The sequence below is a fragment of the Homo sapiens genome, chromosome 9 (assembly GCF_000001405.40).
Source record: "Homo sapiens chromosome 9, GRCh38.p14 Primary Assembly".
NCBI classification, from domain to species: Eukaryota; Metazoa; Chordata; class Mammalia; order Primates; family Hominidae; genus Homo; species Homo sapiens.
The window spans coordinates 96411728-96433838 of record NC_000009.12 but is presented as its reverse complement, the minus strand read 5'-3'; the positions used below and the strand labels follow the sequence as shown (position 1 = coordinate 96433838).

Below are 22111 nucleotides of genomic sequence, written 5' to 3'. Positions count from 1 at the left end.
GTAATCCCAGCATTTTGGGAGGCCGACGCGGGTGGATCATGAGGTCAGGAGTTCAAGACCAGCCTGGTCAAGATGGCTGAAACTCCGTCTCTACTAAAAATACAAAAATTAGCCTGGTGTGGTGGCACTCGCCTGTAATCCGAGCTACTTGGGAGGCTGAGGCAGAGAACTGCTTAAACCTGGGAGACGGAGGTTGCAGTGAGCCAAGATCGCACCACTGCGCTCCAGCCTGGGCAACAGAGCAAGACTCCATCTCAAAAAAAAAAAAAAAAAGATGGGTTCTTGCTCTGTTGCCCAGCCTGGAGTGGAGTGGCACAGTCTGCAGCCCCCAACTCCAGGGCTCAAGGAATCTTCCTGCCTCAGCCTCCCTAGTAGCTGGGACCATAGGCACACCCCACCACACCCAGCTTCTGACCAGCCTCTCTGCCCCATTTTCCACCTTTTCTTCCTCCATCGCATTGTCCACTGTGTATATGCATTTGTTTGTTTCCTGGTCCCTTCCACAAGAGTTTGAGCTTCCTGAGAGCAGGGATTGTTTTGCTCACTGCTGTATTTCCAGTGCGGAGAACAGAGCTGACACGCAACTGACACTTAATAAATATTTGTCGAATAAATAGGGGGTGAAATATCTGAAAACTCTTGCTTCCAACTAAATAGAAATGCTGAGCAACACAGTGTACTTGATTCTTTTGCTTAGCATCCAATATCATTTCTGCCATTACAGTAAGTCTTTAAAAGTGGTTGGGTTTTCTAAATTCATTATATAATTACCCTCTTAAGGCTGAGTGAGCACTTAAAAATGCAATTCCTAAATTGTTTTTGCCTACATGATATCTCTGCTATTGATGTTATCATTTATCAAACACTGTGATGGGACATATTATTAAAACATATCTTAAAAGAAATTCAGGCTCTGATGAGCACTACGGCATAAAGCAAAGAAGAGTGGATTTGTGCCAGTCCTAGCCCTACCCCATGTGAGCCATATGGCCTTAGCAAAGCCACTTAATCTCTTTGATATTTTTCTCTTTAGCTATAAAACGCAGATACTCTGCTAAGTCAGCCCAATAAGAGATGTTGTGAGGGTCGAATAAGAAAATACATAGAAGAGCTTTGAACACCTGCAAAGCATCATGAAGGGTTATGATTATATCAAAATAATAGTAAGTCATCAACTTTTGAGCACCTGATATAGCCAGGGAATTCGGCAAGAGCTCTGGAGCCATCTTTATCTAAACTCCCAGACAAGCTTTCCATGTAGTTGCGGGGGATGGTGAACAGTATGCACACAAAATACGTGCACATCTTGGCCCGGCACAGTGGCTCATGCCTGTAATCCCAGCACTTTTGGAGGCCAAGGTAGACAGATCTCTTGAGGTCAGGAGTTCAAGACCAGCCTGGCTAACATGGTGAAGCCTTTAGTAGAAGTCTCTACTAAAAATACAAAATATTATCTGGACGTGGTGGCGCACACCTGTAATCCCAGCTACTCAGGAGGCTGAGGCAGGAGAATGGCTTGAATCCAAGAGGCAAAGGTTGCAGTGAGCCGAGCTCATGCCTTGCACTTCAGCTTGGGTGACAGAGCAAGACTCCATCTCAAAAAAAAAAAAATTTGCACATGTGTCTAATGACACTACATTAGATTCTAAAATGTACCTCAGATAAAAATGTAATTCTTGAGGATTGGCTGACTCAAACTGTATCTTGGCATGCTAATTTATACCAAAAGGGACAGATTGAACCATAGACCCTATGTACTAGACACCTACCAATTAGAGACTACCCTTTTGTGTGTGTATGTGTGTGTATCCCCTCTGGGTCTTATTCTTTTGTCCATATTGCTTTTTAAAAATTATATAGGCCAGGCACTGTGGCTCAAGCCTGTAATCCTAGAACTTTGGGAGGCTGAGGCAGGCGGATCACCTGAGGTCAGGAGTTCAAGACCAGCCTGGCTGGCCGGGCATGGTGGCTCACACCTGTAATCCCAGCACTTTGGGAGGCTGAGGCGGGCAGATCACGAGGTCAGGAGATCGAGACCATCCTGGCTAATACGGTGAAACCCTGTCTCTACTAAAACTACTAAAACCCCGTTTCTACTAAAAATACAAAAATTTAGCCAGGTGTGGTGGTGGGCGCCTGTAGTCCCAGCTACCCGGGAGGCTGAGGCGGGAGAATGGCGTGAACCCGGGAGGCGGAGCTTGCAGTAAGCCGAGATTGCACCACTGCAGTCCAGCCTGGGAGACAGAGCAAGACTCCTCTCAAAAAAAAAAAAAAAAAAAAAAAACAAAAAAAAAAACAGTCGGGCGCGGTGCCTCACGACTGTAATCCCAGCACTTTTGGAGGCCAAGACAGGCGGATCACGATCAAGACCATCCTGCTAACACGGTGAAACCCCGTCTCTACTAAAAATACAAAAAATTAGCCAGGCCTGGTGGTGGGCGCCTGTAGTCCCAGCTACTCGGGAGGCTGAGGCAGGAGAATGGCATGAACCCGGGAGGCAGAGCTGGCAGTGAGCCGAGATTGAGCCACTGCACTCCAGCCTGGGCGACAGAGCGAGACTCCGTCTCGAAAAAAGAAAAAAGATAATATTATTACCTCCTTAAAAGCAGAGAAAGCCTTTGGAAAAAAATCCACATACATTCGTCATAAAGCACTCAGGAAGATAGGAATTAAAAAATACGTTCTTAACATAATTGAATGTTATTCCTAAAATTAGTTTCTTATTTAATGGGGATACACTATAGGGAATTCTAGCATTGGAAATAAGGCAAGGATGTTCACTATCCACTACTTTTCAACATTGTATTGGAGGTGTTAACTACTATGATTAGATGACAGAAATCAATTACAGGTTGAGCATCCCTAACCTGAAAATCCAAACTTGAAAATGCTCCAAAATCTGAAACTTTTCGAGTGCTCACATGATGCCAGAAATGGAACATTCCACACCTGACCTCATGTGATAGGTTGCAGTCAAAATGCAGTTGCACAACATGGTTTATTCAGCATCCCCAACAGAAAAAAAGACCCTCCCGGCCCCTTTCAGCTGTGGTATATCTTTTCTGTGCATGCCCAGATTACCCCCCAACAAGCGTGCCTGTAAAGGGTAATAAAATTGTACATATGCAGCTGGATGCACCAATGGCAGGTTCCCCACAATGCCCCATATAGGGCCAAGACCTATGTGCATTACTCACTGTGTTTTTTTTTTTTTTTGCTTATTCTCTGCTCTGTGTTTAAAGATATTGTTGGAAATGCCAAAAAGATACCCCTATGGGTAACAGTGATAAGAAAAAAAAGAAGCACTTATGTTTATCTATAGCACAGAAAGTCATGCTGTTGGAAAAATTGGATGGCGGTGGAAGTGTGAAATGCCTTACAGAACAGTATGGTGTTGGAATGACCACCATATGTGACCTGAAGAAACAGATGGATAAACTGTTGAACTTCTGTGCTAAAAGTGATGGATAGAAGTTAATGAAAAATAGAAAAACACTGCAAAGCTGAAAATGAAGATCTTGATCATGTATTGAAAGAGTGCATCCATTAGCATTGCAGTGAGCATATGCCACTTAATGGCCTGCTTATCATGAGACAAGCAAAGATCTATCACGATGAACTGAATATTGAAGGGAACTGTGAATATTCAGCAGGCTAGGTGCAGATTTAAGAGAAGACACAGCATTAAATTTTTTTAAAGATTCGTGGTGATCATGAAGCAGCAGAGAAATTAACTAGTGTGCCAAGGTCATTGCTGATGAAAATCTGACAGCAGAACAAGTCTATAATGCTGATGAAACATTATTGTTTTGCTGTTATTACCCCAGAAATACATTGACTACAGCTGGTGAGACAGCCCCTACAGGAATTAGGGATGCCAAGGACAGAATAACTATGTTGCAATGTGCTCATGCAGCAGGCACACATAAATGTAAACTTACTGTGACAGGCAGGTGAAAAAGCTTGCTGTTTTCAAGGAGTGAATTTTTTACCAGTCCATTGTTCTGCTAACAAAAAGGCAGGGATCATCAGGGACAGCTTTTCTAATTGTTTTCACAAACATTTTGTACTAGTGGCATGTGCTCACTGCAAAGAAACTAAACTGAATGAGGACTGTAAGATTTTGTTATTCCTTGATACCGATTTTGCTCATTCCCCAGCTGAAATTTTCATCAAAAATGTTTGTGTCGGCTGGGTGCGGTGGCTCACGCCTGTAATCCCAGCACTTTGGGAGGCCAAGGCAGGTGGATCGCCTGAGGTCAGGAGTTCGAGACCAGCCTGGCCAACATGGTGAAACCCCATCTCTACTAAAAATACAAAAAAATTAGCTGGGCGTGGTGGCACATGCCTGTAGTCTCAGCTACCTGGGAGGCTGAGGCAGGAGAATCGCTTGAACCCAGGAGGTGGAGGTTGCAGTGAGCCGAGATCGCTCCACTGCACTCCGGCTTGGGCGACAGAGCATGACTCCGTCTCAAAAAAAAAAAAATATATATATATATATATGTGTGTGTGTGTGTGTATATATATACACATATATACATATATACATACATATATACATATATACATACATATATACACATATATACATACATATACATATATACACACATATACATACATATACATATATACATATATACACACACATACATATATACATATATACATATATACACATATATACATATATACATATATACACATATATACACACATATACATACATATACATATATACGTATATACACATATATACATATATACATATATACGTATATATACATATATACATATATACGTATATATACATATATACATATATACGTATATATACATATATACATATATATACATATATACATATATATACATATATACATATATACATATATACGTATATGCATATATATACATATATACATATATATACATATATATACATATATACACATATATACACAATATACATACATATACATATATACACATATACATATATATACATATATACACATATACATATGTACATATATACATATATACATATGTACATATATACATATATACATATATACATATATATACATATATATATGTAGTCTGTGTCAGAGCTGGAAGAAGTGGATATTCAAGACGTTTTTAATGAGCCTTGTTCCTTCACTAACTGAGGGTGAAATATCTGAGTTGGTTCTGAACCAAGGTGATCGTGATAACAGTGACAGTGAAGATGATGATGTTAACACTATAGAAAAAGCACCTATAGAGGACCTGGTGAAAATGTATGATGGGCTTATTGAAAACTAGGGCAGTGTGCATTCACAACCAAACAAGAAATCATGTCAATTCATAAAAATCAAGAGAGACGTCTAAGACAGAAACTGGCCGGGGTGATGGCTCATGCCTGCAATCCCAGCACTTTGGGAAGCCGAGGCGGGTGGATCACCTGAGGCTGGGAGTTCGAGACCAGTCTGACCAACATGGTGAGACCCCGTCTCTACTAAAAATACAAAATTAGACAGGCGTGGTGGCACATGCCTGTAATCCTAGCTACTCAGGAGGCTGAGGCAGGAGAATTGCTTGAACCTGGGAGGTGGAGGTTGCAGTGAGCCAAGATCGCGCCATTGCACTCCAGCCAGGGCAACAAGAGTGAAATTCCATTTCAAAAAAAAAAAAAAAAGACAGAAACTGTTGTTAATGAGGCAGATGATGCTGAATGAAACATTTTCAAAAGCCATCCAGCAGATGCCTCCTCACCCCTATGGGACCCACTTCCTGATCCTTTAACTGCTACTGATGTTTTTTTTTTTCACTGAAAAAAAGAAGATACAGTGTACAGCCTTTCAATCAAAAGGTAGTATCATAGGTAGAGACCAGAAGCTGCTGTTGTTTAGCCACTGATGCAGGTATCTGGTGATGCTATCTTGGGTGCCCTGAACACATTATTTTTTCACTGCATTAATGAAATGTCATATTTTTTACTGGTAAGTACGTATGTGTGAGTTTAAGAAAATGATTGGTTATTGGTATCATATAAATGCAGAGTCAGGAAGCATGGGGATGTCCACATTGGTGGCTGAGATAGTGACATCTTCGCCTCTGATGGTTCAACATACACACACCTTTATTTTTATTTAAAACGTTGTATACAATTACCTTCAGGCTACGTGTATAAGGTGCACATGAAATGTAAATTAACTTCATGTTTAGATTTAAGCCTCATCCCCAAGATATCTCATTATGTATATGCAAAAATTCCATAATCCAAAAAAATCTGAAATCCCAAACACTTCTGGTCCCAAGCTACCTGGGAGGCTGAGGCAGGAGAATCGCTTGAACCTGGGAGGTGGAGCTTGCAGTGAGCCGAGATTGCGCCAGTGCACTCCAGCCTGGGCGACAGAGCAAGACTCTGTCTCGAAAAAACAAAAAACAGAAATCAAACAAACAAACAAAAACCCAGGCAAACAGACTGGTAGAACAGAATGTAAAGTTAGACCCAAATACATATGGAAACTTAGTATATGAAAAAGGTGGCATTTCAGATCACAAGGATAAAGATAAATTTTTAAATAAAGTCATGTGATAAAAATTTCATGAATGAAGTCAAAAGACAACTGATGACAGCTTGGGAGAAAATATTCACAACATATACTACAGACAAAAGGGCAATGTTCTCATATATATAGAATTCTTAAAAAAAATTAAGAGACAGCTTGGCACGGTGGATCACGCCTATAATCCCAGCAGTTTGGTAGGCTGAGGTGGGTGGATTGCTTGAGCTGAGGAGTTTGAGGCCAGCCTGAGCAACAAGGCGAGACCATGTCTGTATCAAAAAAGATGCAAAACTTAGCTGGGCATAGTGTTGTGCACTTGTAGTCCCAGCTATTTGGGAGGCGAAGGTGGGAGGATTGCTTATGCCCGGGAGGTTGAGGCTGCAGTGAGCCATGATTACACCACTGCACTCCAGCCTGGGTAACAGAGTGAGTGCAGCTGCTTTGGAAAAGTTAAGTCGGATCCCCAAAATGTTAAACCCACGGCTGCTCTATGACCCAGCAATTCCACACCTAGGTATAACCAAAAATAAAAATAAAAACATATATCGACATAAAAACAGACACACGAATGTTCACAGCACCACTGTTCATAATAGGCAAAAAGTGGGAGCCACTTAAATATCCATCAAGTGATGAATAGATAAGCAAAATATAGTATAGCTATACAATGAAATATTATTTCTCCGTAGAATGGAGAAAGGATTCTCCATTGGCGCCCAGCCAATTTCGTAATTCTGACCAATTCGGAATTATGAAAAACAAGGGGCTGGGTGTGGTGGCTCACGCCTGTAATCCCAGCACTTTGGGAGGCTGAGGCGGGCGGGTCACGAGGTCAGGAGTTCGAGACCAGCCTGGCCAATATAGTGAAACCCCATCTCTACTAAAAATACAAAAAATTAGCCGGGCTTGGTGATGGGTGCCTGTAATCCCAGCTACTTGGGAGGCTGAGGTGGGAGAATCGCTTGAACCCGGGACACAGAGGTTGCAGTGAGCCGAGATGGCACCATTGCACTCCAGCCAGGGCAATAGTGTGAGACTTTGACTCAAAAAAAAAAGGAAAAACAAGGAGCCACTGAGCCACTGAAGAACTGTTACTCACTGCAGGGAACTAAGGACAAATAATCCCTAAATGCTATGTAAGATCCAGACAGGATCTTGGAACAGAAAAAAAGACATTAGTGGAAAAAAAGAAAAAGATTAAAATAGAATAAGGGGTGTAGTTTAATAAATAATATGGTACACATGTTAATTTCCTGGTTTTGATACGTGGTTGTGGTAATATAAGATGCCAGCATTAGGGGAAGTTGAGTGAGGTATGTGTGAAAAATTTACTATTTTTGCAACTTTTCTGTAAGCCTCAAATAATTCAGAGTAAAAAGTAAAAGACAGAATATCAGAAAAACAACAATAATTGTACTGACAACCCACTCTCCAAAGTTGACCTCTGACACACAGAAGTGAGGAGGAATAGAATTTAAACTAAAAATGTCTATGTCCTTACTTACCTTAATTAAATGGCAATAAACATGATGAAATACCACAGTGGAAAGTCTTCCTGGATGTAAAATGTACTGACTACCTTTGGCACAAGCTTACAACTAGGGCACTCGAGATACCCGCAGATCCTAAGTGTGATAAAACGGGAAGCTGTCCCAAGAGTCAGTTCAATGACCTCTTATAAGACTTAAGTGCTTCTTGAAAGTATTATGAATCTGCTGTCCTAATTAAACTGCTTCATTTAAATCTACTTTGGATTTTATTCTAACAAGTCAAATTAGTATAATTTACAGTGTAGAGCCACATATTATTTTAAAGTTGATTCCATATCCAGCTGATAATTGATCATTGTGGGTCTAAGATAATGAAACTGATGTTTTTGTGGAGCATAAGAGAACCAATATTAGTACCTCACAGTCACTCAGTCAGTTAGTCATTTTCTTTTTCCTTTCTTTCTTTCTTTTTTTTTTTTTTTTGAGACAGAGTCTCCCTCTGTTGCCCAGGCTGGAGTGCAGTGGTGCAATCTCAGCTCATTGCAACCTCCGCCTCCTGGGTTCAAGCGATTCTTCTACTTCAGCCTCCCGTGTAGCTGAAACTACAGGTGTGCGCCACCACGCCTGGCTAATTTTTGTATTTTTAGTAAAGATAGGGTTTCACCATGTTGGCTAGGATGGTCTTGAACTCCTAAACTCATGTGATCAGCCTGCCTCGGTGTCCCAAAGTGCTGGGATTACAGGCAAGAGTCACCTGGCCCACTCAGTCACTTTCAAGATTACAGAAGGGTCAAATGGTCCAACCTCCAGATCCTTGAAGACAGTGGGGGTGTCAAGGAATGCTTAGAAGATGGGTCAGTCCCCCAAATCACCACCTGTGTCACCAAAAGCAATTCCAGAGGTGAGCAATAATAGTAGAATTCATTTGTAGGAGTAACAGAAACTTTCTCAATCTTGTGTAAGTTTTGCAAAAGTATTTACTATTTACTATTTTGTATTGGTACATAACTTATACTTTAAGTAAAAACATCATGCTTGTAGTTAGGCTCCATGGAGTCCCAGCTACTTAGGAGGCTGAGGCAGGAGGATTGCTTGAGGCCAGGAGTTTGAAGCTGCAGGGAGCTATGATGTGCCTGTGAATAGGCACTGCACTCAAGCCTGGGTAACATAGTCCTCATCTCTTAAATTAAAAAATTATATATATATGTACATATATACACACACACATATATATATGTACATATATATACTTGCTATGGAAAGATAGTTTCAAGGCAAGTCCTTGGGACAGCCTTCTGAATCGGACTGTCATTCCCAAGCTGTCTCACTGACAATTCTGGAGGCCCAAAGTCCCTATATTACTAGGAATGTGGTGATCTCAGGTTGAAGGAGGTTTGGTAGGTTATCCCTAATGTGGTTAAGCAGCTAAAAATGATTTGTTTATAGTTAGTCAAGTTATCTGTTAGCCAAGAAGATTTTACCGTGCTCCCATGAGGGGAAGACTACCTTATCTGAGGTTTACGTGGGCCCCAAGTTTAAAGTTTGGGTGATATTTTAGTCCTCTTGTTACAAAATGTCTTTTGTGGGACTCAGTCACATAGCAGGGCCTGTGCAAACTTGCAACTGTGCCCTGGAGCAGCGGTCTCCAACCTTTTTGGCACCAGGGACTCGTTTTGTGGAAGACAACCTTTCCACAGATGGAGAGAGGAAAGGGAATGGTTTTGGAGTGAAACTGTCCCGCCTCAAATTACCAGGCATTAGATTCTCAAAAGAAGCACACAACCTAGATCCCAGATCCCTCACATGCGCAGTTCACAACAGGGTTTGTGCTCCTATGAGAATCGAAAGCCACCGCTGGTCTGACAGGATGCAGAGCTCAGGCAGTAATACTTCTTTATCGCTGCTCAGCTCCTGCTGTGTGGCTGGTTCCCAATAGGCCACACAGTCCACGGCCCGGGGGTTGCAAACCTGTGCCCTGGAGAACATGTCTTTCAGCATCTCTTCAACATGTGGCACTGGAGTTAACAGCCTGGCACCACAGGAGGGCATTCACACTCCCAGACTGTGAGGGTGTTAATGGCCCAATTCTTCACTCTCCCTTGTATCCACACCCTCAGCCAAGTAACTTTGCAGTGTCCTCCCACCTAACATCAGGGCATAATTCTCCAGTCTTGGGCTGAGCCATGTGGCTTGTTTGGCCAATGGGATGTTAGCTGATGTAAAGCAAGCTGCTAGGAATGCATCGTTAGTCCTAGTTAAGTGGGGGAGAGATGAGAATTAGATTGAGGACTGCCTATAATCCAGTGCTTTGGGAGGCTGGGGGGAGGAGGATTGCTTGAGGCCAAGAGGTGGAGACCAGCCTGGGTAACATAGTGGTACCCGTTTCTACAAAAAATTAGTCAGGTGTGGTGGTGCGTGGCTATAGTTCTACCTACTCAAGAGGCTGAGGTGGGAGGATCACTTGATCCTCACTTGAGATTGCATTGTATCTCTCATCAATAAAACCAAATGCTGGGGTCCGGCACCATGGCTCATGCCTGTAATCCCAGCACTTTGGGAGGCCAAGGTGGACGGATCACTTGAGCCCAGGAGTTGGAGACCAGCCTAGCCAACATGGTGAAATCTCATCTCTACTAAAAATACAAAAATTAGCTGGGTGTGGTGGCGCATGCCTATAGTCCCAGCTACTCGGGAGGCTGAGGCTGGAGAGTAGCTTTAACTCAGGAGGCAGAGGCCGCAGTGAGCTGACATCTTGCCACCGCACTCCAGCATGGGCGACAGAGCTAGACTCCCTCTCAAAAACATAAAAAATAAAAATGGGCCAGGCGCGGTGACTCATGCCTGTAATCCCAGCACTTAGGGAGGCCGAGGCGGGCGGATCACAAGGTCATGAGATCGAGACCATCCTGGGTAACACGGCGAAACCCCATCTTTACTAAAAATACAAAAAAAATTAGCCGGTCGTGGTGGCAGGCGCCTGTAATCCCAGTTACTCAGGAGGCTGAGGCAGGAGAATGGTGTAAACCCGGGAGGTGGAGCTTGCAGTGAGCCGAGATCGCGCCACTGTACTCCAGCCTGGGCGACAGAGCGAGACTCCATCTCAAAAAAAAAAAAAAAGTGTGTGTGTATGTGTGTGTGTATATATATATATACACATATATATAAAATTAAAAATAAAATATTTTATATATATTATATATTATATAATAAATATATAATATTTAATTAATATATAATATATTATATATTATATATAATAATTAATACATATTATATTATATATTTATATACACATAATTAATATATTATAATAATTAATATATAATATTTAATATATTTATATATAAATGTGTATATATATATATATATATAATTAAAAATAAAAACAAAGTGAAACAAAAAACCTTGCTTTTTTTTGTTGTTGTTGTTGTTATTTTGAGATGGAGTCTCACTCTGTCGCCCTGGCTGGAATTCAGTGGCGTGATCTAGGCTCACTGCAACCTCCGCCTCCTGGGTTCAAAAGACTCTCCTGCCTCAGCCTCCCCAGTAGCTGGGACCACAGGCGCATGCCACCATGCCCAGCTAATTGTTTTTGGATTTTTAGTAGAGATAGGGTTTCACCATGTTGGCCAGGATGGACTTGATCTCCTGACCTCAGTTGATCCATCTGCGTTGGCCTCCCAAAGTGCTGGGATTACAGGTGTGAGCCACCACCCCTGGCCTGCTATGTTTTACATAGACTTTAATAACTGCTGCTTTGTCTTACTTCAATTTTATCTTGAAACTTTAAAATACATTTTTTTTAAAACGGGGTTTGAGGTTTCTATCTTTATCAGAAGGGGTATATATATGTAAAATATATATATACATATATATAAAATATATATATATACATATATACATATATAAAATATATATATCTACTTATATATATAAAATATATATATATCTACTTATATATATAAAATATATATATATATCTACTTATATATATATATATTTTTTTTTTGAGATGGAGTCTCGCTCTGTCGCCCAGGCTGGAGTGCAGTGGCGTGATCTCCACTCACTGCAACCTCCACCTTCCGGGTTCACGCCATTCTCCTGCCTCAGCCTTCCGAGTAGCTGGGATTACAGGCGCCCGCCACTACGCCCGGCTAATTTTTTGTATTTTAAGTAGAGACGGGGTTTCACCCTGTTAGCCAGGATGGTCTCAATCTCCTGACCTCATTCATGATCTGCCCACCTCGGCCTCCCAAAGTGCTGGGATTATAGCTGTCAGCCACCGCGCCCAGCTGAAGGGGCCTATATTTTTAAGAGTTGAAAATGCTACTTTAGTAATATAGTAAGTATCCTGAGATAGGTTTCAGTATTTTTCAGATTTAGTATGTATTGTTGTTACCGGAAAGGGGTCCTGATCCAGACCCCAAGAGAGGGTTCTTGGATTTCTCACAAGAAATAATTCAGGGCGAGTCCGCAGTGCAGAGTGAAAGCAAGTTTATTGAGAAAGTAAAGGAATAAAGAATGGCTACTCCATAGGCAGAGCAGCCCTGAGGGCTGCTGGTTGCCCATTTTTATGGTTATTTCTTGATGATATGCTAATCAAGGGGTGGATTATTCATGCTTCCCCTTTTTAGACCATATAGGGTAACCTTCTGACGTTGCCATGGCATTGTAAACTGTCACGGCGCTGGTGGGAGTGTAGCAGTTGAGGAGGACCACAGGTCACTCTCATGGCCATTTTGGTTTTGGTGAGTTTTGGCCGGTTCCTTTACTGCAACCTGTTTTATCAGCAATGTGTTTATGACCTGTATTTTGTGCTGACCTCCTATCTAATGCTGTGACTTAGAATGCCTTAACCGTCTGGGAATGCAGCCCAGTAGGTTTCAGCCTCATTTTACCCAGCTCCTTTTTAAAATGGAGTTGCTCTGGTTCACAGGCCTCTGACATTATGGGCTGTTAATATCTGAGACAGAACAAAGACATCAGGAATATGATCCATACACTTCAGACAGCTTCTTCATTGCATGAAAATGGAGCCAAACAAGCAAAGATCTGGTATGACCTCAGCTTTGCTCCTGGAATCACCTTCTGCCCAGTTCACACATTCCTGGCATGTCTTTCATTCTCTTGGGGAAGAGAGCAAGTGGAGTTGCCAGGTTACTGTTGATGAAGGGCAATTTTTAGAAGCAGAAAGTCAGCATCCTGTGCTGGATGATTCATCTTGCCCTCTGGGGCATGCTCTGAATGTTAAACAGTAACTATTTGTTGGTGATTAATCTGTTGGATTTTGCTCAACCCCTAATTCGAGTGTCCATGATGGATAGATCACTTTTTTCTTTACACTACTTGTCAAGTATAAAACAGATGGATAACATTTCCCTTCCAACTGATTCAGAAAAATATGTTTTTTGGTATTAAACTGTAAAAACAAAATGTATGTTTACTAAATTAGGTGAAAGTAGGGCTGAACTTTCAACTTTCTAGATCAACCATTACAATATGAAATTTGCCCCTAAACCCTGAAAGTTTTGGAATATGAGAAACGGGACCGAGAAATGTGTGAGTCCCATTTTTCAGCCTTTTCCTCCTTTTGCTCAGCAGACACTGAATATAATCCACAGGCAGTACAGACTTATTCTTCCAAAGGATTTATTATGTAATCTTGTACAAGCCTCAACTTTTCTCATTTATAAAATGGGAAAAATATCTTCCTTACCCAATTGTTGAGTGAACTGTGAAACATCCATATGTATTATTGTGTATCAGTACATATATGCTATTTTTGTAGTAGGCCTCCAGAAAATGGAGGCTATATACTGTTTCATTTCTTAAAAGGATACTTTCACTTGGTTCAAAGTTCAAAAGATAGTTATATATTGTATTTCTTGAAATCTTTTCACTTCTGTTCCCAGCCACACAATTTCCCTCCATGATCCATGTTTCTTTTGCATCTTGCCAGATATTTTATGTACGTCTAAAAGTAAAAACGTATTTTCCCCACTTTAACAATTTTACATAAAATCACACTATTGCTTGTTTTGCCTTTTAAAATAAAAATACATTTTTGAAATTGTTCATATCAGTACAGTTTCCTTTATTTGTTTTTAAACAATTGTGGCTTAATTTAGTCATAGCTGTGCATTTGTGTGTCTTTCACAGAGAGAAAAGCTATTCAGCTTAGTTATCTGTTATTATACAGTCGTGTTCTAACTTAATTACCAATCCTAACCCTTAACCAATGGATATTCATTCATCCATTCAGCAAATATTTATTGAGCCCCTACCGCGAATCAGGCGGTGCCTGGGAATCTGTATTCCCAAGAACAAAACGCAGCTCCCCAGGCCACATCTAGCGGGTAGGAAGCCGGGCAACCCCTCCGCCCGGTCCTTCCTCTGCAGCCTGCGAGCCCCACCCGGGCCGCGGTCGGCGCCAGCCAGGCGGGGCTGGGGCGGGGCGGGCAGAGGACGTTGGGGCTCCGCGCGTCCCGGCGCGAGTACTAGGACGCGGCCGGGGCAGGTGGGGGCCGAGCAAAGTAGGGCGCTGCCCCGACTCCCGGAGCAGCCGCTCGGTAGAGCGGGGTCGCCGGGGTGGGGAGATCCCCGAGGCAACTTCGGGGCATCAGTCCAGGGTGAGAGTGTCTACTCTCGCCCGGCTCTTGTGGCCTCCGCGCCGCGAGCGGCCCGCAGGGACTTCGGAGGCCACTTCCTGGACTCTCCCCTTTCCACAGATGGGGAACCGGAGGCCCACAATCGGCCCGGAGGAGTCAGGGCGGTGCTGACAGGGCTGGTTCACAGAGCGTGCAACAGCTGAGCAGACGGAACTCGATTAAGAAACCAGGCACGCCGGGTGCCCATCAGGACCTCGGGCAGCAGAGACTCCAGCCGCCGGGCGGGTGGTGGGACCGAGGGCGGGGCGGGCGGCGGGGCCCCAGCCCTTTAAACTCCCTGCGCGCGGGAACCGCGGCCCAACAACCAACGGCGGGCGGGGCCGAGCGGGGCGCGCGCCTCCACCGCCCAACGATCACCACCCCCCCCGACCCCGCCCCGCCGCTGTCCAATCAGCCGCCCTCTTGCCGCCCTCCCCGCCGCCCTTGTCTCCCTGGCCCGGACTAACCACGCGGAGGGACGGCGGGGCGGGGCGGCAGGCGGGTGTGTCCGGGCGAGTGGAGACGCCGCGCGCTCCACTGGAGTTTCGAACGCTGTTGGCCCTCCAGACAGAAAAAAATATAAGAGCGGCGGCCAATGGCGAGGTGGGAAGGACCCGCGCGCAGACCCGGCCCCGCCCCGGCCGGCTGGAAAGAAGGCCAGGCCTGGCCATTGGCTCGCGCCGCCTGTCACTCGCCGGTGCGGCCAGCGGGCAGCGGCCTCGCGGTGACTGGTTCCGCCCAGGCGCGAAATGTAACGCGGGAAAAGCCGGGGCAGGCACCGCGGCGGCAGGTTGTTATTTTTGGGGGCTCAGCGCCGCGCGTCCTGCTTTCCTGTCACCGCAAGGGCCGGGCCGCCCGCTGCTTCCCACCCCTGCAGCCTGCGCTGCGGAGTACAAAGAGCGGAGGGCGCGCTTGACCTGGGGCTGGGGTCCAGCCCTGCCCGCCGGTGCCGTCTGCTCAACTAGTTAGGTGGCTGCTGCGCAGGATTCCGGGAAACGTCAGTCTGCCATGAGCCGGCAGGACTGAGCCTGCGACTCGGAGCAGAGCGAGTGAGGGGCAGAGCGGTGCTCAGGAGTGCGGCCCGGGGCCGCCGGAGCTGGGGGTCGGGCCGGGCGATGATCCGGGGCTTCGAGGCGCCCATGGCGGAGAACCCGCCGCCGCCGCCGCCGCCCGTCATCTTCTGCCACGACTCCCCGAAGCGGGTGCTGGTGTCGGTCATCAGGACGACCCCGATCAAGCCAACGTGCGGCGGTGGAGGGGAGCCGGAGCCGCCGCCGCCGCTCATCCCCACCAGCCCCGGCTTCAGCGACTTCATGGTGTACCCGTGGCGCTGGGGCGAGAACGCACACAACGTGACGCTCAGCCCTGGGGCCGCGGGGGCCGCCGCCTCGGCCGCCCTGCCTGCAGCCGCAGCCGCCGAGCACTCGGGGCTTCGTGGCCGGGGCGCGCCCCCGCCCGCCGCCTCGGCCTCCGCCGCCGCCTCGGGAGGTGAGGACGAGGAGGAAGCGAGCAGCCCAGACAGCGGCCACCTCAAGGTGAGCGGCGCGGGCGGGCGGGCGGGCGGGACGTGGGGCAGCCGGGGCCCGTTAACGGTGCGGCGGGCGGGGCGGAGTTGAAAACGCGAGGTCGATCCGGCTACGGCGGGGGCTGCGGCTGACAGGATGCTGACGTCACTGCCGCGCGCCAAAAACCGGCCCCAGTCGGGGGGGGCCTGTCACGTGACAGGCGGGAGCGGCGCGGGAGACCGTCCTTGCGGCAGGTGCAGTGGGCGGGAGCGCGGCCCGGGGTCGCTGGGGAGGCCGGGTCAACGGCCACTGACATCCTCCCGGCGGGCTGCCGAGTCCTCAGTTCCGAGAGGAAACGAGAGGGATGAGGGCCTTGAGTTGTTCCACCGACTGCGAGAGGGCAGGGAGCGCACAGTGTTTGCTCCATTACTGCAGATCGCCCTCGCCCTGTTAAAAGATGCCCTGCAGAGACAGCCGAAGAGCAAGAAAGGACTTCTGGGCCTGTTCTGCGGCTGAAGTTGTGCCTTCGCTGCCTTTCATTTATCCAGCATACTACTTGCTAGGTGTTGAGAGCACATAGTGGAATGGGACGCTAAAATTGCTTGCAGTCTCCGACTGCTTAAAGCTGGGAAGGTCGTTACCACTGGTTCAAACCTATTTTACAGATCAGGCAGCTGGGGCTTACAGTGATTAGTGAGGCGACCTTCCCACGATGGCACAGCTCAGTAGTGGAAGAGCGGGGACTAGGTCGAGGTTTTGTGGCTTTTAGTCCTGCATGTGTTTGGGGTGACTTTCTGCTGACTTATACTGAACTCTGTAGACTGTAAGCTCCAGGTGAGCCAGGAGTATTTCTATCTAGAAGACTATATGACTTTACTACCTTACATTCTGTAAATGCTCAATAAAGGTGCTCAAAAAATATTTGTGTAATGAATGAATGGTGCTAACAGAAGGGTAATATCCAGGTTCCATTTGTTAAGTGGCTGTATAAGATAAGCAATTTGCAAGAGATAACAAGTAAATCACATAGTGGATAACTGCATCTGTATCAGCACATAATGTATAAGTTGAAACGAGTTTGATCATTTTACATGCAGTCACAAGGATGTTGAAACTACATTGTTTGGGTTTTGAGGAAATTGATATATTTTATGTGGCATTATTATTAAATAATTATAAGGTTATAAAACTATAGGTTTTTATACACTTCAGCTCTTGAAACTGCACCTCAGTAAACATTTGAAAGAACAGAACCTGGGCCGGGTGCGGTGGCTCACGCCTGTAATCCCAGAACTTTGCGAGGCAGAGGCGGGCGGATCACGAGGTCAGGAGATCAAGACCATCCTGGCTAACACGGTGAAACCCCGTCTTTACTCAAAATACAAAAAATTAGCCGGGCTTGGTGGTGGGCGCCTGTAGTCCCAGCTACTCGGGAGGCTGAGGTAGGAGAATGGCGTGAAGCGGGAGGCGGAGCTTGCAGGGAACTGAAATCAGGCCACTGCGCTCCAGCCTGTGCAAAAGAGCGAGAATCCGTCTCAAAAAAAAAAAAAAAAAACAACAAAAAAAAAAACCATAACAGAGCCTGGTGAGGTGGCTCATGCCTGTGATCCCTTCAGGAGGCTGAGGCTGGGGAATCACTTGAGACCAGGAGTTCAAGACCAGCCTGGGCAACATAGACCGCATCTGGCGGCCTGCACCTATATACGTAGCTACATGGGAGGCTGAGGCAGGAGGATCACTTGAGACCAGGAGTTTGAGGCTACAGTGAGACATGATAGCACCACTGCACTTCAGTCTGGGTGACAAAGCAAGACCTCAACTCTTTAACAAAAATTGAAGAAACTTGCCAGGTGCGGTGGCTCACGCCTGTAATCCCAGCACTTTGGGAGGCTGAGGCGGGTGGATCACCTGAGGTCCAGGAGTTCGAGACCAGCCTGACCAACATGGTGAAACCCTGTCTCTACTAAAAATATAAAAATTCGCCGGACGTGGTGGCGGGCGCCCGTAATCCCAGCTACTTGGGAGGCTAAGGCAGGAGAATTGGTAGAACTCGGGAGGCGGCGGTTGCAGTGAGCCGAGATTGCGCCATTGCACTCCAGCCTGGGGGACAGAGTGAGACTCCGTCTCAAAAAAAAAAAAAAAAAAAAAAAAAAAAAAAAAAAATGAAGAAACTAACGATAGAAGCGTTGATAGTATTGCTGAGTATTACTAAAGGCTACAGTTGCTGTTGGGCTGCCTCTAGGTATCCCCTAGTGAGATGTAAGATGGATCGGTATCCACCGGGTGGGTGGCTCACGCCTGTAATCCAAGCACTTTGGGACACCGAGGCAGGCGGATCACAAGGTCAGGAGATAGAGACCATCCTGGCTAACACGGTGAAACCCCGTCTCTACTAAAAATACAAAAAAAAAAAAAAAAAAATTGGCCAGGGGTGGTGGCTGGCGCCTGTAGTCCCACCTGCTCGGGAGGCTGAGGCAGGAGAATGGCGTGAACCCGGGAGGCGGAGCTTGCAGTGAGCCGAGATCGTGCCACTGCACTCCAGCCTGGGCGACAGAGCAAGACTCTGTCTCAGAAAAAAAAAAAAAAAAATTTGGATGGGTATCCTAGGTATTTTTGTGTTAACCATTTATAAGTTTTAGTCTTTTAAAAAAAACACTAAATTAGATTATGTAGTTGAACAATATAAAGGCATACATTCATAAGTTCTTGTGTAAGATTTTGCCTTTATGGTTTTATTCTTATAGATTAATCTAGTTCTGGATCACCCAAGAAGATTAATGTTATATAGATGAAATCTATAGGTATGTTGTTTTTGGCCTAAAACAGACTTGTCCTTACCCAGACATTTTATAAAAATTGCTAACTGTGGCCAGGCGCGGAGGCTCACGCCTGTAATCCCAGCACTTTGGGAGGCCGAGGCTGGCTGGTCACGAGGTCAAGAGATCGAGACCATCCTGGCCAACATGGTGAAACCCTGTCTCTACTAAAAATACAAAAATTACCTGGGTGTGGTGGCACACCCCTGTAGTCCCAGCTACTTGGGAGGCTAAGGCAGGAGAATCACATGAACCCTGGAGACGGAGGTTGCAGTGAGCCGAGATCGTGCAACTGCACTCCAGCCTGGCCACAGTGAGACTCCGTCTTAAAAAAAAAAAATTGCTAACAAGATGCATGGGTTTGAATTGTATTTCCATGCTGTACACCTCTTTTCAGAGGTAAAGTATACCAACGGTTGTAAAAAACATGTAAAAGTGAAATGGCTGTTTTATATTTCTGCTTTTTTCTTTTCTCATGTAGTTTTTCCTGTTGTAACTTTCATAAATTATTTGGTAAATTGATTTGAATATGTCTTTCTATTGATGAAGCAATCCACATGCAGCTCCAAAAATTCATTTATTTAGCTTTCCCACCGTAAGACAGAAGGGTCTGGAATACACCTTTATTTAAGAAAGTTGCTAGCTAGACTAAGCTTTGTGGGGGCAAGAAGGAAAAAGAAAAAAATAAGGAAGTTGCTTAGTTTGATTTGTGGTCAGTACACTGAACTACAAAGATAGAGAGTCCCAGCCTGTTTTACTGTTTTGCTTCTTTAAAGTACTTGTAGTTCCTTATCTCCATGTGCATCATCAGGGAATTGTGCTGAGTCTGCTCATTTTTGGGGAAGAGAGGAGACAAGTCTGCAATATAGCCAGTGCCAATAACATTCTCCCAATATGCCACATAGAGGCACTAACAGCTGTGGGTTTGAGAACAATATTTGCGTTCATTTACTGTCTATTCTTTGCCACTTCTCCCAGGGGAGGTGTCAGCGTCTGAGTCCTGCACACCCTGTGTCAGCTTTCTCTTGCTCTTTTGATTGTTCCTGCCCAACACTGCCTCCCTCGCCTGTGGGAACACCTACTAGCTTATTTTGGCTGCTCATCACACGAGTGCTTAGCACTGTTGGCATATAATTATATATTATCTTCTTCTGGATTGTAGAATTCTGAGAGGGAAGAAAGCAGGTCTAACTGCCTTCTGCCACAAGTTGTTCCAAGGCTCCCCACCTTGTCCCTGTGCCCTCTACTAAGACTGCATTTGAAGTTACTTCTTCACTGGGGCTGGTGGGGTCTGGCTTCTCAGATACTATTCACCCTACAGGATCTACCGGCTGCCGTATCCTACTTCCCCTTTCTGTGTCACCTGAACACTTCAAAACCTAGACTGTACATACTGTTACGAATAGCTGATTTTTAAATACTTTATACATAATACATAAATTCATAGTATTTATGAATAGTAATGTTTGAGCACCATGTTAAACCTAACATCATGTTAACATAGTAGGCACTATTTATTGCCTGGCACAGAGTAAGCATTTCATAATGTTAGCAGCAAACTGCTGGGCTCTGTGTTGAGCATTTTGAATTCTTTAATTCATTTTATCCTGTTTACCTGATGAGGAATGAGAAATTAGAGTCCCCAAGACAAAATCTAGTTAAGATTGTATGGTAAGTGGCAGAACTGATCGGAACCTTCTAGAGTCCCTGTTCTTAGTCCCTATACTGCACTGCTCCTGGGACTATCACATGTAAATAGACTTCAGGGGTTTATTTTTGTTTTTTAAATATTAAGCTGAGATAAGTAGACATAAGAAATACATACTATTGGCCGGGCATGCTGGCTGATGCCTGTAATCCCAGCACTTTGAGAGGCCAAGGTGGATGGATCACTTGAGGCCAGGAGTTTGAGACCAACCTGGCCAACATGGTGAAACCCTGTCTCTACTAAAAATACAAAAAAATTAGCTGGGCATGGTGGTGCACACCTATAGTCCCGGCTACTCGGGAGGCTGAGGCATGAGAATCACATGAACCCGGGAGGCAGAGGTTGCAATGAGCTGAGATTGTGCCACTGCACTCCAGCCTGGGCGACTAAGCGAGATTCTGTCTCAAAAAAAAAAAAAAAAGAAAAGAAAAAGAAAAAAGAAATACATACTATGTATAGCTTATCTATGTCTCAATTGAGATGCTTTATAAAAGTGCACTCAATTCAATAAACTGGAATTAAAACTTGAGAAGTTGTGAAGATAGGTCAGGATGGGAAGTAGGTAGTTACAAGTTAGGAAGCATGTATGCAAGTCATGGGAAGTTTGTATCTAAATCTGAATGTGAAAAGGTTCACACGCCTCCCTCTGAGACCTATTTTTGTTTTCCTTCTAGGTTGTGCTTGTTCCCTTTATTTGAATTCTACTTATAAAAATGTGTCAAGGACTTTTAGGTTTTTTAGTTATCACATGACTAAACACTTTCAAAATCACTAATCAACCTTCTAGAGGTATGGAGATTGTTTTTAAAATTATAATTACTAAGGTATGCAAAAGTTTTTGGCAATTTAATAATTTTGTGTTGCGAATCGTCAACAGTCTTGACAAGATCTGTCCTTAGCCTCCAGGTGCACTTGGCTGCTGAGTGTAACACTCTGTAATTGTCCGAAGATGCCTAGAAACATGGTTTTCTCATTGTTAAGGCCAAAAGGAAGAGGGTCCTCTTTAAGTAACATTGCTTATTTTAATATGTATTGTTAAAAGATGGTCTTTATTCATTTATTTAGGGCATTATATGATTATTTGTTTTGTCTTATTTTCTGAGCTAAAATAATGCACTTATTAATTAGCTGGGCATGGTGACGCTTGCCTATAGTCCCAGCTACTTGGGAGGCTGAGGCAGGAGAATCGCATGAACCCAGGAGGCGGAGGTTGCAGTGAGCTGAGATCATGCCACTGTACTCTAGCCTGGGCGACAGAGCCAGAGTCCATCTCAAAAAACAAAAACAAAACAAAAAAACCCAAAAGAATGCACTTAGTGAACCCTTCCCTGTATATGGCCAGTATGTTGTATTATGCTGTATATTTCAGCACTCACTCCATTTCTCATTTG

At 44.9% G+C, this 22111-nt stretch overlaps 1 protein-coding gene across 1 annotated transcript in view, besides 14 other annotated features; it reads left to right on the top strand.

Annotated features, from left to right (window-relative positions):
* Positions 9833-10334: an enhancer, noted in NCBI's record as "H3K27ac hESC enhancer chr9:99185787-99186288 (GRCh37/hg19 assembly coordinates)". NCBI's record gives its function as "activates a minimal SCP1, AML or CMV promoter by ChIP-STARR-seq in primed H9 embryonic stem cells {active_cell/tissue: H9 hESC(primed)}" and the evidence as "EXISTENCE:reporter gene assay evidence [ECO:0000049][PMID:30033119]".
* Positions 11802-12588: an enhancer, noted in NCBI's record as "H3K27ac hESC enhancer chr9:99183533-99184319 (GRCh37/hg19 assembly coordinates)". NCBI's record gives its function as "activates a minimal SCP1, AML or CMV promoter by ChIP-STARR-seq in primed H9 embryonic stem cells {active_cell/tissue: H9 hESC(primed)}" and the evidence as "EXISTENCE:reporter gene assay evidence [ECO:0000049][PMID:30033119]".
* Positions 11802-13604: a biological region, named in NCBI's record as "BRD4-independent group 4 enhancer GRCh37_chr9:99182517-99183716".
* Positions 12405-13604: an enhancer, noted in NCBI's record as "BRD4-independent group 4 enhancer chr9:99182517-99183716 (GRCh37/hg19 assembly coordinates)". NCBI's record gives its function as "activates an origin of replication core promoter dependent on BRD2, P300/CBP, MED14 and CDK7 cofactors, and independent of BRD4, by STARR-seq in HCT116 cells {active_cell/tissue: HCT116}" and the evidence as "EXISTENCE:reporter gene assay evidence [ECO:0000049][PMID:35650434]".
* Positions 14121-14654: an enhancer, noted in NCBI's record as "H3K27ac hESC enhancer chr9:99181467-99182000 (GRCh37/hg19 assembly coordinates)". NCBI's record gives its function as "activates a minimal SCP1, AML or CMV promoter by ChIP-STARR-seq in naive H9 embryonic stem cells {active_cell/tissue: H9 hESC(naive)}" and the evidence as "EXISTENCE:reporter gene assay evidence [ECO:0000049][PMID:30033119]".
* Positions 14323-14592: a silencer, noted in NCBI's record as "silent region_20082". NCBI's record gives its function as "represses an Ori minimal core promoter by ATAC-STARR-seq in GM12878 lymphoblastoid cells {active_cell/tissue: GM12878}" and the evidence as "EXISTENCE:reporter gene assay evidence [ECO:0000049][PMID:35858748]".
* Positions 14655-15188: an enhancer, noted in NCBI's record as "H3K27ac hESC enhancer chr9:99180933-99181466 (GRCh37/hg19 assembly coordinates)". NCBI's record gives its function as "activates a minimal SCP1, AML or CMV promoter by ChIP-STARR-seq in naive and primed H9 embryonic stem cells {active_cell/tissue: H9 hESC(naive and primed)}" and the evidence as "EXISTENCE:reporter gene assay evidence [ECO:0000049][PMID:30033119]".
* Positions 14655-15512: a biological region, named in NCBI's record as "H3K27ac hESC enhancer GRCh37_chr9:99180933-99181466".
* Positions 14853-15512: a silencer, noted in NCBI's record as "silent region_20081". NCBI's record gives its function as "represses an Ori minimal core promoter by ATAC-STARR-seq in GM12878 lymphoblastoid cells {active_cell/tissue: GM12878}" and the evidence as "EXISTENCE:reporter gene assay evidence [ECO:0000049][PMID:35858748]".
* Positions 15469-22111, top strand: part of ZNF367 (zinc finger protein 367) — a 32430-nt gene continuing 25787 nt past the window's right edge. Inside the window, exon 1 of the mRNA NM_153695.4 lies at positions 15469-16226. Coding sequence (NP_710162.1) covers positions 15807-16226 — 420 coding nt within the window. The 5' untranslated portion in view covers positions 15469-15806. The remainder of the gene's footprint in view (positions 16227-22111) is intronic.
* Positions 15623-15762: a silencer, noted in NCBI's record as "silent region_20080". NCBI's record gives its function as "represses an Ori minimal core promoter by ATAC-STARR-seq in GM12878 lymphoblastoid cells {active_cell/tissue: GM12878}" and the evidence as "EXISTENCE:reporter gene assay evidence [ECO:0000049][PMID:35858748]".
* Positions 16063-16302: a silencer, noted in NCBI's record as "silent region_20079". NCBI's record gives its function as "represses an Ori minimal core promoter by ATAC-STARR-seq in GM12878 lymphoblastoid cells {active_cell/tissue: GM12878}" and the evidence as "EXISTENCE:reporter gene assay evidence [ECO:0000049][PMID:35858748]".
* Positions 16663-16902: an enhancer, noted in NCBI's record as "active region_28653". NCBI's record gives its function as "activates an Ori minimal core promoter by ATAC-STARR-seq in GM12878 lymphoblastoid cells {active_cell/tissue: GM12878}" and the evidence as "EXISTENCE:reporter gene assay evidence [ECO:0000049][PMID:35858748]".
* Positions 20031-20160: an enhancer, noted in NCBI's record as "active region_28652". NCBI's record gives its function as "activates an Ori minimal core promoter by ATAC-STARR-seq in GM12878 lymphoblastoid cells {active_cell/tissue: GM12878}" and the evidence as "EXISTENCE:reporter gene assay evidence [ECO:0000049][PMID:35858748]".
* Positions 20464-20633: an enhancer, noted in NCBI's record as "experimental_110873 CRE fragment used in MPRA reporter constructs". NCBI's record gives its function as "activates a minimal promoter by MPRAs in K562 erythroleukemia cells, with activity observed for the non-introgressed 9:99175573 variant allele {active_cell/tissue: K562}" and the evidence as "EXISTENCE:reporter gene assay evidence [ECO:0000049][PMID:34662402]".